The 15936-nt window shown below is 35.3% G+C and overlaps 1 protein-coding gene across 1 annotated transcript in view; it reads right to left on the bottom strand.

Annotated features, from left to right (window-relative positions):
- Positions 1-711: 711 nt before the first annotated feature.
- GPR180 (G protein-coupled receptor 180) overlaps positions 712-15936 on the bottom strand; it is a 32805-nt gene continuing 17580 nt past the window's right edge. Inside the window, exons 5-9 of the mRNA NM_180989.6 lie at positions 15856-15905; positions 14138-14295; positions 12073-12264; positions 9330-9407; positions 712-8360 (exon numbers count right to left, since the gene is read on the bottom strand). Of these exons, the coding sequence (NP_851320.1) occupies positions 8202-8360; positions 9330-9407; positions 12073-12264; positions 14138-14295; positions 15856-15905 (637 nt within the window). The 3' untranslated portion in view covers positions 712-8201. The remainder of the gene's footprint in view (positions 8361-9329; positions 9408-12072; positions 12265-14137; positions 14296-15855; positions 15906-15936) is intronic.

Here is a 15936-nt window from a genome sequence, read left to right as displayed (position 1 = left end):
CGAGGCTCTAACTACTCTTTATCTAGGCCATGTCTCAAGGTTGTGTATATAGTGAGCAGGATGAGGAAATGTTTCCCCCTTGACAAAGAGCCAGTTATAAAGAAGATAAACTGTCTAGGTTCAGTGTTCCTTGGGTGCAACACAAATCCACTGCATGTGGAATATTCATGTAGTCCTGCCTGTATTGCCTCCATAAACTTCAGATATATGTATAACCAAGGTAAACCAACATGAAGCTCATGGTGCTTGCTGTAACAGGTTAGTTAGCTTGTAAGTATGTAAAATCTCAGACCTTTTATAGTTCTTGCCATATAGTCTTCAGAGAATTGGTTATTTCATCTAAATTGCCATATTTATGTTAGTAGAGAATGTTTTTTTGTTTGTTTGTTTGTACTATTTTCTTACTGTTCCGTTAATGTCTGCAGTCTGGTATCTCCTTTTATTCCTGATATTAGTAATTTGTGTCTTTTTTCTTTTGTCAGTCTTGCTAGAGGCTTGTAACTTTTACTAATCTTTTCAAAGAATGAGCTTTTGGTTTTGTTAATTTTTCTCTATAGTTTTTCCATAATCAAATTCATTGATACCTGCTCTTTATTATTTCCTTGTTTTTGCTTGCTTTGGAGTTTTCATTTTTAAGTTGAAGGAGCAACAATTAGAGGTAAAAAATTGAATAGAAAAGACAAAAATAATGATTATTTGCAGACAATACGGTTGTTTACCTAGAAAACACAAGAGAGCCAACCAGAAATTTATTACAACTGTTAGAAGAATTCAGTTAGGTGACTGGGAACAAAATTAGAATGCAGAAATCAATAGTTTTCATGCAGAAAACAAAAGCCATATGCAACATAATGAAAGAAAACATTAACATATTCATATCAAGAAATGTACAAGAGCTATATAAAGAAGTCTTTAAAAGGTGATTGAGAAACACATACTTCTGATTACTTAATATATAAGTATATATAATATGTACTATATATGTATACAAGTTTTAAAAAATCAGAAAGGCATTTCGTACTAGTTTCTTGGATCACTATGGGAAAACCTAGTTTCCGACAGTTGATAATATGCTTGGCTGAGGAGTCAATGTCATGCTACCACCTGTGGGTTTAACACTCAACACGTTAAGAAAGTCAAATTTCCCTAAATTGCTATGGAAATTTAATTCATTCCACTAAGAATACTAAACAGGATTTTTTTTCTTTTGAAAATCAGAAAAATTGATTTCAAAGTTTATATAAAAAATGAGCAAGACTAATTGGAAAATTATAAAAAACAAAAACACTTAACAGAAAATTATCCCTACCAAAGCGTACAGCAATTTTAAGACTACAATAATTGAAACAGTGTGGTACCAGATCAACAGTTCATCAGATAGCCTTAAAAGTCCAGAAACCAATTAGCAACGAATCAGTAAAGATGGATTATATAACACATGATATTGCAATAAGTCAACAACCATCTGAAAAAAATTAAGTTGGATCTCTAATTCATATTTTAACAGCAAAATAAATTCCAGGTGGATGAAAAAAACATACAAAATAAAACCATAAAACCACTAGATGAAAATACAGGGCATTTAAACATAATCTCAAAGAGCTAAGGCTTTTCTACCTGTGAAACAGGTAGAACACAGAAGAAAAAAATGAAAGACTGATAATTCCACCTGCATTAAAAAAACTACAAGAAAAAGACACCATTAAAAAAGTAAAGAGAAAAATCACAAATTGAGAAACACAGTTCAGACTCATATCACAAATGACCAATTTCTGTTATAAAGAGTTTTAACAAATCAATAAGAAAAAGACAACCAACCCAATAGAAAAGTGGGAAAAATATGTTAACAGATCGTAGAACTGGAAAGAAAATGGTTTTAAAACAAAAATTAATAAGAGAAATGCAAATTAAAACTATAATGAATAAAAGTTATTTATCAGATTGATATCTAGTACAATCCATGGAAAACAAAAACACTTAACCGAAAATTATCCGTACAGAGAGTACAACGTAATTTTCTGTTAAGTGTTTTTGTTTTGCACGGATCATCAGGATATTTGCAATGGCTTCTGACACCAACTGCCTGAAGTTAAGCCAAACTTCACAGATTAAGGGCCCAGTCCTCCATATGACTGCCCTCACTTCAGAAACTAGCAACTTTGGGCATTCCCAGGACCATCCTTACTTCTGACCAACTGGCTGCAAGTTCAGGGGTCCCCACAATACCTTCAGGTTCTATAATTAAATAGAACAACTCACAGAACTCAGCAAAGTGCTATGCGTACTATTACAGTTTATTATAGCAAAAGGATACAAATCAGAACAGCCAAAAGAAGACATACATAGAGCAAGGTGTAAGAGGATCCCAAACACAAAGTTTCTGTGCCCTCAGGGACATGTCACCCTCCTAGAACACACCAGAGTATTGCCAACCAGGGAAGTTCACTTGAGCATCACTGACCAGAGTTTCTCTCGGGGTTTCATGACAGGCATGATTAATTGACTCAATCTCTATATAAAGCTGAACTCCATCTCTAACCCCTCTCTCCACCTCAGAGGTTGGGCTAATATCATATGACTCAAAACTCCAACCCTCTAATCCAATGGTTGGTCTTCTGGTGTGGCTAGCCCCTATTTGAGTCATCTGGTTAGCGTAACTATCAGAGCTCACTATGAATAACAAAGATACTTCCATCACCTAGAAAATCCCAAGGATCTAGACCTGGAACCTGGAGTGGAGGCATTTTGGGAGGAGGGAAGGAAGTCTTGGCAAATTCTTGATTACTGTCTTAATTTCAGCCTTGTCTGTATTAGCAAGACTGAAAACCAACAACGTGCAGTAACAGAACTGATTCTTTGAAAAAATCAAAATACATCCATATAATGGAGTTCTATGCAATTGGTGAAAAAAATGGGACAATTCTAGGTAAGGCTACAGAATAAATTGCTGAATGTGCAAAAGTCTGTATGTTATGCTATAATTTGTGTTTCATATATGTTTATATGTGCATGGGGCCATTTCTAGAAAGATAACTGGTAACAGAGTTTGGATTCAGGGAAGGGAAATGAGTGAGAGAAGGACTTCTTTTCCCCACCTTTTTCAACTTTCTGATTTTTGTACAATGTGCATATATTACCTGTTTAACAAGAAGAAAACATTAGAAGGTTTTCGCATACTTCTTTGAGGCTACTGAACATAACTTATAACTTAATATTTTCTTGATTACCATCAGTCACTGTCATGAATACATTGAACAACAAATCTCTTAAGAGTCTACTGAGATACACAACACAGGGCTGCTTTCACCTACACTAAATGACCCCAGGCTGCTGCAATTTGAGTGTTATTGTCATTTCTAGTTTTCCCATCTTTTCCCAGCTGCTTCTGACTACTGTCAACATTCCCTCCTCTAGCTGACTAGAAACTTCTCTTTTAAATTGGTGCTTCTGGTTGTGGCAGGCCAGAAACCAGACACATGGTCCTATTACAGGACTACATAAAATAAAGAGAAACTGCCTCTGTGAGAATTTGAGAAATCCTCTCGTAACTGATGTTTTATGACAACTACTTGACTAGTCAAGATTTTTACACACTACCAAGTTCCATGCAATTGAACAAAGAATAGGCAAGGTATTATTGAAGTCACTACGGGTACTTCTATTACATAATTAATACTACACTGTTAAGTACAGATTTGGAACTTTTTCAGCATTGCCTTCATTCACTCAAAAATATTTTTGAGCATCTAGTATGCACCAGGGAGTGTCCTAGTATTAGGCATACAGCAATGAACAATAGAGACAAACTCACTTAAAATTTATATTCTAATTTGAGAGATGACAAAGATAAACCAGCTAAGTACAACAAACAAAAAAAGGGATAATATGATAGAACTAGGATGGGGGAATAGCATTAGGTAGGATGGTATGGTTAATCAGGGTCTGATCAGAAAAGAACCACTAGGATCTAATACACATACACATATCTTAATATTCAAAATAAGGGGCTTATTATAGGGATTATAGGAGGCGGTTTCTTTTGTGTCTGGCAGTTGGAAAGGGAAGACATGGGAAATGGGGGAAGCAAGGAACTTGCTAGGATGAGTAGAACCTGTGGGAACTGAGTGGAACTTGTGAGGATGGACTGGAAGCCATACAGGTCTCTCCCTGCCTCTAATCCTCCAGTGTGAATGATGGAGTTGTCCAGCAGAAGCTGGCACCCTTTGTCAGAGTAAAACGCACACCTGGCCCAGGAGCCAGAGAAGCTGAAGGAGCCATTCCGGCAGGAACTGGTGTTCCTGTGGGCCTGGCTGTTGTCCCACAGGCCAAGAGAAGCCAACAGATAAGCAATAATGTGGATAAGCTGCAACAGTGCCTTGTGCCTTGTGCCTTGTCTGGCCCTTCCTCTTACAAAAAGAATGCAGATCTGGCTGCTACTTTACTTCTGCCTTCTATATCTTGTATCAAACATTTCTTATGGCCTACATTGTCCTGAAATTATGCATGGAAGAGAATTCTGCAGAACCTATCTCCAGGTTGACTAAACTGCACCATATAAATCCACCACAGATGGTGAGTTCTCTAAAAGACATCTCAGCTGAGAACCTGAAGGATGAGGATTCAGCCTTCCAACCATGCTAAGATTTGGAAGAGAATGTCCCAGGCAGAGAAGATGGCTAGTGCCAAGTATCTGAGGGTGTGATATAAGCTAGATCTTTTTTTGATGAAGGACAATGAGGCTGGGATATGTGTGTGAGAGAGTGGTACAAATTAAGAGATAACCAGATCATATGGGCCTTGCAGAACATAGTAATGAGTGAGGACTTCTTTTCCTAAGTGCAATGAGAGGCACATGGAGGGTTTTTGTCAGGGAAGTAGTAGTTTGATCTGATTTATATGATTTTTAAACTTTTTGAAATAATTTCAAACTTACAAAAAAATTACAAGATTAGCACAAAGAATTTCTGTATGCTCATCATCCAGATGATTTCCATTTTTAAGAGATTGTTTTGGCTACACTGTGGAGAATGGCCCTAGTGGGCAGGATCACTTCTTTCCTCACCTCCAGGCTTCATGGCACTCCTACAGCACAACACATATGATGCCCCTGGAGCTGTGCAGAAGGCTGCCCAAGTGTGGACATGGTAATATTACTTAGAGAGCTATTGCAAGAAATCAAGCTACGGTGCTTCTACCACACTACTTTCAGATCACAGAGGAAAACCAATCTCATTATTTTAGTCTCAATTCACAAATACATGTTGGAATAAAAAACAGTATTACCTCTTCGTATCTGGCTACTTCTAACAATCATATCAATTCTCAAAACAAACAAAAAACAACCTCAATGATTTGATACCACAGAAGCTATTTAAGAAAATGTTTCACAGATAATTCCAAATTTCCAAATTCCAAAGAACGTGCAGTCTCCTAGAAGAAACATGCTGAAGGAGCCCATGTTCATGTTGATAGATAGGTTCTAGTCTCATTATTTTAGAGATGATCTCAGATTTGTGTATCTCCTATGTTCATCAGATGTGACTTTACTGGAGATAATAAATAATTACCCTAAAGCAAGCTCTTCTGCCTAGATTAACTCTCCTGCTAGTAATACTGTCTGGTTAAAAGCCAGGTTCAAATACTGAAGTGTGCTGAGGTCTTACAGATATTCAAGCGCATGTTCTGATTTTAGCACAATTCCAGTTTTAATGTTCAAATCAACAGCAAAAATTATGATGGATAGCAATTCATTCTCACTAAAACACAGCTAATACATGTTCCTTAAATCATGAAGGTAAAGTGGAAAAACTAAATAGTTTGATGACCTTAGAGAAATCATTTATTCTCTCTTATACTCAGTTAAATGGGAGCCTGGTTATCACAATAGAGATGAGTAATAATGAAGGTAAAATGCCTGGTAAAATGCATCACAGTAGGCACCCATCTTATTATACACATGTCAATAAAAATAAGCATCTATTTTTTAAGGGAAGAAAAGAAATGCTTCTTAATAAAGCTCTGGATGAACCATTTATCTTCTTTCAAAAAATGTAAAAACACATAAAAAAGCATTATCTGACAAAGAAAAGTAGAAAAGATTTTTATCTTTAATTAGAGTTTGTAGTATACACTTAACTTTCTGTAATCTGCAGTGATGAATCTCTATGTAAACATTCAGAAAAAGAGCGAATACTGTGTCATGACTTATGAACTATAAATTTTGTCCCTGATTACTAGTCAAGAACAGTTTTATACATTTATTAACAACTACTTTCCTCCACTTAACAACAGCTCTTAAATAACAAAATAAATTATCAGCATTTCCAACCATAAATTTAAGAATTAAAGTTTAAAAAACTGGTTAGTTTCATAAATGCAAGCAGAGTAATAAATTTCATATATGTTAATTGCAGTTACTTATGTTCTTTGAGTGAAGTAACACAAAGATTTTTCCCTTCCCCTTTTGGCAAGTTCACAAAATTCATGAAAAGTCTTCATCTTTTTCTTTTTTGCTTAATTTCTTTTTTGCATCTCAGCTGAACACAACAGACAATAGCTGGGGTTATTAGCGAGACATGATAAAAGAAAAGGTTATGACCACTCAGACGATCATGTATACCTAAAACATAACTCAGACTTTCTAGTCTTAACCTGTAGCTCTAATGTACTAAGTGATTTACAAAGAACTAATAGAGAGATGATTTAATGAGCAGGTTGAACTTGGTAACTTTGTCATTTTGGGTCACAAACACATATTCTGCCCTGAAAATGAGGCAGAATACTAGTCATTTCCAATGAGACTAGGTACAAAAGAAAAACAAAAACAAAGCCATAGATATTTTTAAGTTGCACTACATTATTTTAACTATTTAATTAAAAAATTTAACTACCAGATCAGTGCACTGTTGCTTGCTTAAACACACAGTAAATAGATAAAAAATATTTTTAAAATAAGCCAGAAGTAAAAAGGAAAAGGCCTGAACAGCTTGACAAACAGCAACAGAATAATTTCCAATCAGTGACTATTAATGGGAATACTCATTTTATACAGCGAGTATTGACAACCATTTAGCAATTCTTTAATCAGGCACTTGATATTTTTTAGCTAGCATACTCAATACTGGGGCATCACACACACACACAAAAGTATGGCTTTATTACAAAGGATTCAAGATGGCAACTACTTAGAATCCAGTGCCAACACGGATTATAACAAATCCAGTGAGTGTTTTGTTTTTCAATTATTCATAGAAAATTTAATCCTGATTAAGTATCCTTGGGCAGGAATTCATGGGTAGTTGATGACTGAAACCAACATTTATGTGAAATGCTTCTGTTAATTTAATCTGTGTATACGGCTTAATTATGATTGGGGATTCAACGTAAGAGAAATGAATTCTATTGGGATCAAAATTTCAGTACCATATCACATAGTACCTTTTCCCTTCTTTCTGTTTAAACACATAAACCTGCTTGTCCCTTCACCTAAGTGCTCAGATTTTAAAATCCTTTGTCCTTACAACCCGTGTAATGTATTTAAGTTTTATTTTTTCATAAACTGTTTGTCAAAAACCTTTGCTAATCAAGCTAAAACCTGAACTAGAGCCAAAAATGGCAGAAAAAATTGGAGAATAACTCCACCCACAAATAAACAAAAGCTTATTCATTTAACTGTGAACCTATTTTATATTCATTTCCTGAAGTAATTTCAATTCCTTTAAACTCAAATATGAAATACATTTTCCTTAAAGCATAAAAAGCAGCAGTTTTAAAAATCAATGTATTACACTGATTTCATAACTGGACTAGTTTAGATATTTATAAGCAAGTAATCATTTAACTGATTACTTTTTATAAGACTATTAAACCTGAGTTAGCTATTAAGATGAGGCATTATAAGTGGTGAATATTTTACCAAAATATCATAGTTATTTTTCACATTTATTTCCACATAGAAATCGCTTCAATAATTTTATAACAACACTTTCTTCAAAGTTTGTTGTTTAAGTATATTTCAAAACATTTCATTTATTACCTTTTTTTTCAGTCTTGGTACTGCTTAAATGCAGTTATATAAATAACATGCTCTGCTTTCGCTGTTCAAGTTTTCATACTAAATGTATGAAAAAAAAGTCACTGTATTTGGATCCTTATTGCACTCTTTTAACCAATTCACTTTTCCTCTCAACAAAAATCAAGTATCAGAAATGAGGGCGACTTTTGTGTCCAGATGATATGGTCAGTGGTAGTGTTACTGAAGAAAGTGAAGAAACTTCCCAGTATAGACTGTGAGACAGAAAGAGTCTGTAGAGAATAACCATGGAAACAGACTGGCAAAGGATAACACCTATTGTAATAACCTGAAAAGAAAAGGAAAGGAATGCTTTTACTACATGCAGAAATAGAGAAATAATATTCAATTTATTATGAATCTATATATGCTTTTTATATAAATACAATACTCTATCTTTCATCTTTACCATAGGTACATTTTATCAAAAAAATTTTCTGACTAATGCTCAGAACTCTAATTGTTTAAGGATAAAAATCCCTTTAACAGTTATTTTGTAGATGACAAAGTAAGGCACAAAAGAATAACTTGCTAAACCATTCTCTCCTAAGGGTATGCACTACAGACAAGTTTCAGTAAATAAGAAAAATCAGGTTCCTAGCTAATTTAGGAACAGGAATAAAGCACGCTCCTACCTGAACTTTAAAGAGTACTCTAAAAGCCCTTTCAAAAATTCTCAAGTTGCTTCTCTATTTTTGTAGACTACTGTCCTATCTATTCACCCTTTGTAAACACCTCAGGCTCAATAAACATTTGTGCATTCAGGCACATACTGCATTGCTTGTAAAGGGCTCCTGGCAGACCTCTATTTTGAAATGATGGAGCCATTCACCTAAGAAGGTAGGTATCAACACAATCAAAATGCATCATACTTGAGCATGGCACTCTGGTTTGTAGTCTGTTCAATAACTAGACTGATTTTTACAAATCTTGATTTTTGCTATTATGTAAGAAAAATTTTAATCATTTTTTAAAAGATGTATTATAAATTCTCTAATTTATAAAACAAAATTTCTATTTTAAAATTATCTATTGTAGTACAATCAAGAAAAGCTATTTCCACCATTTTGCTTATAAATATTTTAAAAATATTTTAAACTTCAAATTTATCTGCTTATTGGTTTACTATTTTGTTTCAAAGTTTTAAATAACCCAGAAAATGTCTTAAAAAATAAATAGGTCCCTCCTATTTAAATATTCTCCCAATTAAGACAATATTTTCATTAAGAAAACTACTTTGATCATGTATATTTCTTACCTTGTCTCTTTGGTAGTCGCTAAAAATGACAGAAATGCATGCAAGAACTGGATGGCATAAAAACCACAAGATACAGCCCTGAAACAAAGGAAAAAGTGAAATAAGTAGAACTGTGTAGCTTTTTTTCAGCATGTACCAGACAAAAAAATGTTACTAGCATTTTTAGGTTCTGATTAACCTCAACAGGCCTTTAGAGTACAGCCTGCAATAAAATGTAGAAATAAATTTACTGTTGCTGTGACATTAATATTTTGTTTCTAACCAAATGAGTATTTTTGGAGTATTTATAATCTTATGTTTATAAATCTGTTGCATACACATTTTGATACACTACAAATTATTAATATAAGTAACAAATTATTAAGTGACAAAAGCAAGGCACAAATGTGTAATATTCCTGTAAAAGAAAAAAGAATGTACATTCATATTTGCATGCTGATACACAAAGAAATCCTGTAAAAATACACAAAAAACATTAATAGTCGTTACCTGTTTGAGGGTTAGAACAGAGGAGGGGGAGCTGGGCAGGTAAGAATGGGTAACTGTTTATACTTTTCAAATATTTTTCTATTCTTCCTTGAACCTAGTAATGTATTCTCTTTTCCAAAATTAAATTTGAAATAAAAAATAAGTTAATAAATAGCTGTTGAAATGTTTGGTACATTAAAGATATAGGGAGAAAAAAACAAGATATAGAAAAATGTTTAGTATGTTACTATTTGTATAAAAATGAAAGGAAATATATATAGGCATATATACTTAAAACTCCAGAAGGATAAATTAAGAACTAATAGCAATTGTGTGAGGAGGTGAGAATAACTTTTTGCTACTCCTTAAATACTTTTAGATGTTTGATCCTATTTAGAAAGTTAAATTAAAACATGAAATACTTTAAATTTTGCACTGCTTTAAGCATAAAGCAAAACAAGAGGCTAGGCGCGGTGGCTCATGCCTGTAATCCCAACATTTTGGGAGGCCGAGGCGGGCGGATCACCTGAGGTCGGGAGTTCCAGAACAGCCTGACCAACATGGAGAAACCCCATCTCTACTGAAAATGCAGAAATTAGCCAGGTGTGGTAGCACATGCCAGAGACTGAAACAGGAGAATCGCTTGACCCCAGGAGATGGAAGTTGCAGTGAGCCGAAATCGCACCACTGCACTACAGCCTGGACAAGAGCGAAACTCCATCTTAAAAAAGAAAGGCTGGGTGCGGTGGCTCACGCCTGTAATCCCAGCACTTTGGGAGGCCAAGGCGGGCATATCACAAGGTCAGGAGGTCGAGAGCATCCTGGCTAACACGGTGAAACCCCGTCTCTACTAAAAATACAAAAACTTAGCCGGGCGTGGGCGCGAGTTACTCGGGAGGCTGAGGCAGGAGAATGGCATGAACCCGGAAGGCGGAGCTTGCAGTGAGCCGAGATCACGCCACTGCACTCCAGCCTGGGCGATAGAGCGAGACACCGTCTCAAAAACAACAACGAAAAAAGCAAAATAAGAAAACTTAATGCCTAAACACCTCAAATACATATTAACTTATCAAACAATAAGCACTACTGTCCCTCTGAAAAACTCAAAGGCAGGATGACATCTTCTTGTCTTGCGCTCAGAAGCCTGAAGTTGGTTCTTAGGGCTGCAGCAGCAGCAGCTTTGCAATGCTCAACACTAGGAATAAAGCAGGAATCTGGCTCTCCTTCCATAGCTGCCTCAGAATAACGGCCAATAACTCTGGACAAGGTGGGCTGCCTGAACAGAATCAGTCTGATCAGAATGCTGGTTCGCAGGGCTAAAATGAAGGGGTATGGATTCTCTCAATCTGACAGAAAAATGAAACCTTCTAGGGAGGGAAGGTTCTATAATGTTACTGCTCTAACCCTTCTCCTGTATAGAAAAAAAACTGAATTTGCTTTTAGATCTCACTAGCACAAGAAGGTCAAGAAAGGAGGAATAAAGTGACACGATCTCATGTGGATGGGGTGAGGCTGGCTGAAACACATGGACTCAGCCTCCTGGCTCCAGCTGCTTATGCTGAAGGATAGCTCCTAACTGTTATAAAACACTGCATAACTCTGAGAATAACAGTTTATAGTCAATTAATAACTGTTGAGAAATCCAAACCATATTTGATTTTAAAAATTTAAAATTCTGGTATTACAGAAAAAAATGTAAAATCCCTATTGATGAAACTATGAACCAGGCAAAACTGACCCGCAAAGAATATATGGAAAATACTGTCTCACAGGTCTTGTAAAATAGGGATAATACCTACATCACATAAGTTGCTAAGGTTAAATGAGTTGAACCACATAAAGAACTTATGGTAGTGTCTGTCACATAACAGAAGTTTTTTTTTTTTTTTTTTGAAAAAAAGAAGGTCTCGCCCTGTCACCCAGGCTGGAGTGCAGTGGCCCAATCTTGGCTCACTGAAGCCTTCAATGCACAGGCTCAAGCAATCCTCCCATCTCAGCCTCTTGAGTAGCTGAGACAACAGGTGCTCGCCACAAAGCGTGGCTAATTTTAATTTTTTGTAGAGATGGGGTCTATGTTGCCCAGGCTGGTTTCCAACTTGGGGGCTCAAGCAATCTGTCTGTCTTGGCCTTCCAAAGCACTGGGATTATAGGAGTGAGCCACTGTGCCCAACCCAGAAGTTTAATAAAAGTTAGCATGTAGTTGTTTATTAACTTCCCAAAGAAACCAGAACCAAGTGGATAATCAGAATAAACGATTTTCTTTCCAAACCCATACTTTGGCAAATGTGATGTAGAACTCCCTTTTGAGTGTACTTCTCTCCACTGTGATGATCTGATAGAGTCCACAGCCTAATGACAATGCTAGGCAAATTCTTAGAACAATTAGGAGGATCCCTGCTAAGTTGTGGTGTGAATGGTAGCTATGATGACTGATATCTTCAAACTGTTCCCAAAGTAGCAAAACACTCTGCAAAAGAAAAACAATATTACATTTAGGAAAAAAAAATATACCTCATTACAATATTTTTTTCAACTCTTTAATAAACATCCCTTTAAATGTTATATAAACATTCCTATCAGACCATAGAGGTTGTTAATTAATAAAGTACAGTCTTTTCATCACTCTAATACCCTAAGCTAGACAAAATGAATTTTTATCAAGTGAGACCACAGTTAAGAGATTTTTAAAAAATTCTATTGCTGCCGGGCACAGTGGCTCAGGCCTGTAATCCCAGCACTTTGGGAGGCCAAGGTGGGTGGATCACCTGAGGTCAGGAGTTCGAGACCAGCCTGGCCAACATGGTGAAACCCCACCTCTACTAAAAATACAAAAAATTAGCTGGGTGTGGTGGCGGGCACCTGTAATCTCAGCTACTTGGGAGGCTGAGGTAGGAGAATCACTTGAACCCAGGAGGTGGAGGTTCCTGATTTCTTAACCAACATTTCTGAACTTCACTTTTGCAATACAGAAGTGCTACCACAGAGCTACCACAGCCCATGGTTCATATTTTTACATATTCAAACTTCCCTGTTTTCATATACATATGCTAATATGTGATCTGTATAAAATACGTATGTATTTGTATAGTCTCTGACTGCCTGTCTGATCTGCCTTGTCTGGCTTGTTGAAGATCAGAGCTATATTTAATGTATTCTTCATAAATGTTCATATAAACTCTAGTGTAATATTATCTCAGTTCTCAATTCATATTTGTCTATGACAATAAATTAAAATTACAATGAAATAATAAAAATGAAATTTTTAAAAAGAAATAAAAAGTGAGAATTTAACCTGACATTGACACTACTCTCCATAAGTCCTGGCTCAAAAACATTAAGTTGGTAGAATCTCAACCTTATTTTAATCAATTCTTCTAATTCAATTATTTCTCATCATCCCCTTTCCTGGCACTACCTCCTTTCTAAATATCACCACCTGTGATATGGTCTCTCTCAAATCATTCATGTAAATTCAATACTCCTATTCCACTCAAAACCTACTATATTAAATACTAGGGATAGAAAGATGAATAAAGCACTGACCCCATCCTTCATTAATACATTTTTCAATTTATTTAATGCATTAAACTTACATTATAATGTCCTCTACAGAGCCTAAGTATATAATTCATTTTCATCTATAGCTAATGCTCATCAAAAACTCAGTACAAATTTTTTTCTTTATAACCTTTCTTCTTAATTTTTACAAATCCATTGAACATAGGCATATGGGTATCTTAGAATGTCAATACTATTAATATAGAGGAAAATAAAAAAAAAGGCATGCAGGACCTTTATAAAAGACTAGTTTTGTTTTTACATTTGCTTTCAAAAACAAGATCCCATTCTTTTTTAGTCTATATTTTGCCCTTTAATTAATCTTAGATAATCACCTGAATTCTTTTACGTACAAAGCAGCCAATCCTAAAGATTCTTGACAATGGATAAATCTCAAATTCATGGAATCACTCATTCAGTGTTAAGTACTTACCATGTGCTAGAGAAATATGAAAGAAAGCTATTATTAAGTAGGAAATAAGACTCTAACCTAGTATTAAACATACTGTGCTTAAATAAGCTGATAGGAGCTCAAATTCAGGTAAATTATAATTAAATTCTGCAGTCTACATATAGTAGCATCCAGATAATTAAGATTATTTGATCTAACACTCTTTAAATTCATACTTTAAATGACACAAATTGTAGAAGCTCAGAAATTTCAAGAAAAAAAAAATGACACAAATTCCTTATGGGTCCCAGGTTTCAATTCTGAAATGAGGTATGCTCAAGTTTGCATTTCTGAGGATTACTAAGCAGAAACACTGAGTATCAATACCCACCTGTGTCATGACAATGAATACTGCAATGCCAGTGGATGCAGGCGTAGAATCCCACTGGAGAGGTCTGCTTTGAGACTTCTTCATTCTGACTATTGTCCAACCCATGCATAGACTCAAAAGTAAGTATAACATCTGAATTTGGGAAGCGATGTCAAAAACTAATGGGACATGAAAACCAACGTCAACCAAGTTTTCACAATATAAAAAATTTAGTGCTTTTTGCATTGAGAACATCTTTTTTTTTTTTTAAGAAAAACCACAAAAAGCCATTTTCAAAGAGAAGCTAACGAAATTCATTAAGAGATATTCGCAGGTAATAATTCTAAAGATTTAAAAATTGCCATAAATTTTGTAATATATTTATTAAAATAGTTAAAACAGCAGCAATACTATTTAAAAATACATATATATGCCCATACCATATGTCCATTAAGTCCAACCTTAACTCTTTTCGTTTCCCATTTTTCTTAGCTTTTCTAACTACATAATCCTGTTCTCTATAACTCACTGCTTATTAAAGCAAATTCTAAATACGATTTCTGCAATATGGAGAATACTAGTACCTTCATTTCTGGGTGAATTTTTTTTGATGGCTGAACTATAATGTGAAGAGTATTTTCTAAAACTATTAACAAGAAACAATACAATGAAATGCATAGCTCCCATAACATCCAAACATTGGCTTTACTTTCAGAATCCTGAAGACAAATGAGAAGCTCCATGCATTAGTGTGATGTGCCACCAGGTGGCCATCACCTACACTGCAGGGGAAGCCTGCTACTTCAAACAGAAAAGATGTATCAAAACCACCTGTATCCAGGTTAACACTACAAGAAAACAACAGAAATCTATAAATGCTTCAAGTTTCATATATATATTTATTTTATGAGGTAGCATTTAATGATTTTTAAGAAAACTTATCACTTTTCTTCACAGCATATTTTGATGTGAGTTTTAGGCTTTGGGTCAGAAATAGAAAAGAGTCAGTTATAACAGAGAGTGGAATTATAATAGGAAGAAAAACTTCAGCTTTGAGGTAAGAAAATTTAGGTCTGAGTCTAGTCTCTACCACTCAATAGCTGACTGACATGTGGAAGTATGTTTCACATCACTGAGCCCAGATCCTTTATCTGCAAAATAAGGATATGCAGACCCCTTTTCTATTGAGGATAAGATGAGAGAATGTATATAAATATACCTAAAAACAATGAAAAGGCAGAGTGTGGAGACTCATGCCTGTAATTCCAGGACTTTGGGAGGCCAGGGTGGGTGGATCCCTCAAGCCCAAGAGTATAAGGCCAGCCTGGGCAACATAGTGAGACCCCATCTACAGAAAAGGAAATTTAAAAATCAGCCAGGCATGATGGTATGTGCCTGTAATCCCAGCTACTGGGAAGGCCTGAGGCAGGAGGATCACCTGAGCCTAGGAGTTTGAGGCTGCAGTGAGCCGTGACTGTGCCACTGCACTCCAGCCTGGGCTACGGAGTAAGAACCCTGTCTCAAACAAACAAACAAAAAAACAACGAGGAGCTGTACACATTACCTATTATTAAGAAGAAACTAAGTAAGACATATGGGAACTTAAACTGTAATCCTGTTCTCAGTCAAGCTGATTTCTAAACAATTTTCGACAGAAAATTTATACTATGACAAGAAATAAAAAAAAAGCAGATAGCGAGTGTAAAAGCTTTTTAAAAAATGCTCAGAAAGATACTCACATTCTGCCAAACTTCCCATAAATGGTACCCCTATTCCATCTTTGGAGTAACTGAGGAATTGAAGAAGAGTAGTGTAAATTA

Source organism: Homo sapiens, chromosome 13 (assembly GCF_000001405.40).
Source record: "Homo sapiens chromosome 13, GRCh38.p14 Primary Assembly".
Taxonomy (NCBI): Eukaryota; Metazoa; Chordata; class Mammalia; order Primates; family Hominidae; genus Homo; species Homo sapiens.
This window is presented reverse-complemented; position numbering and strand designations above follow the sequence as displayed.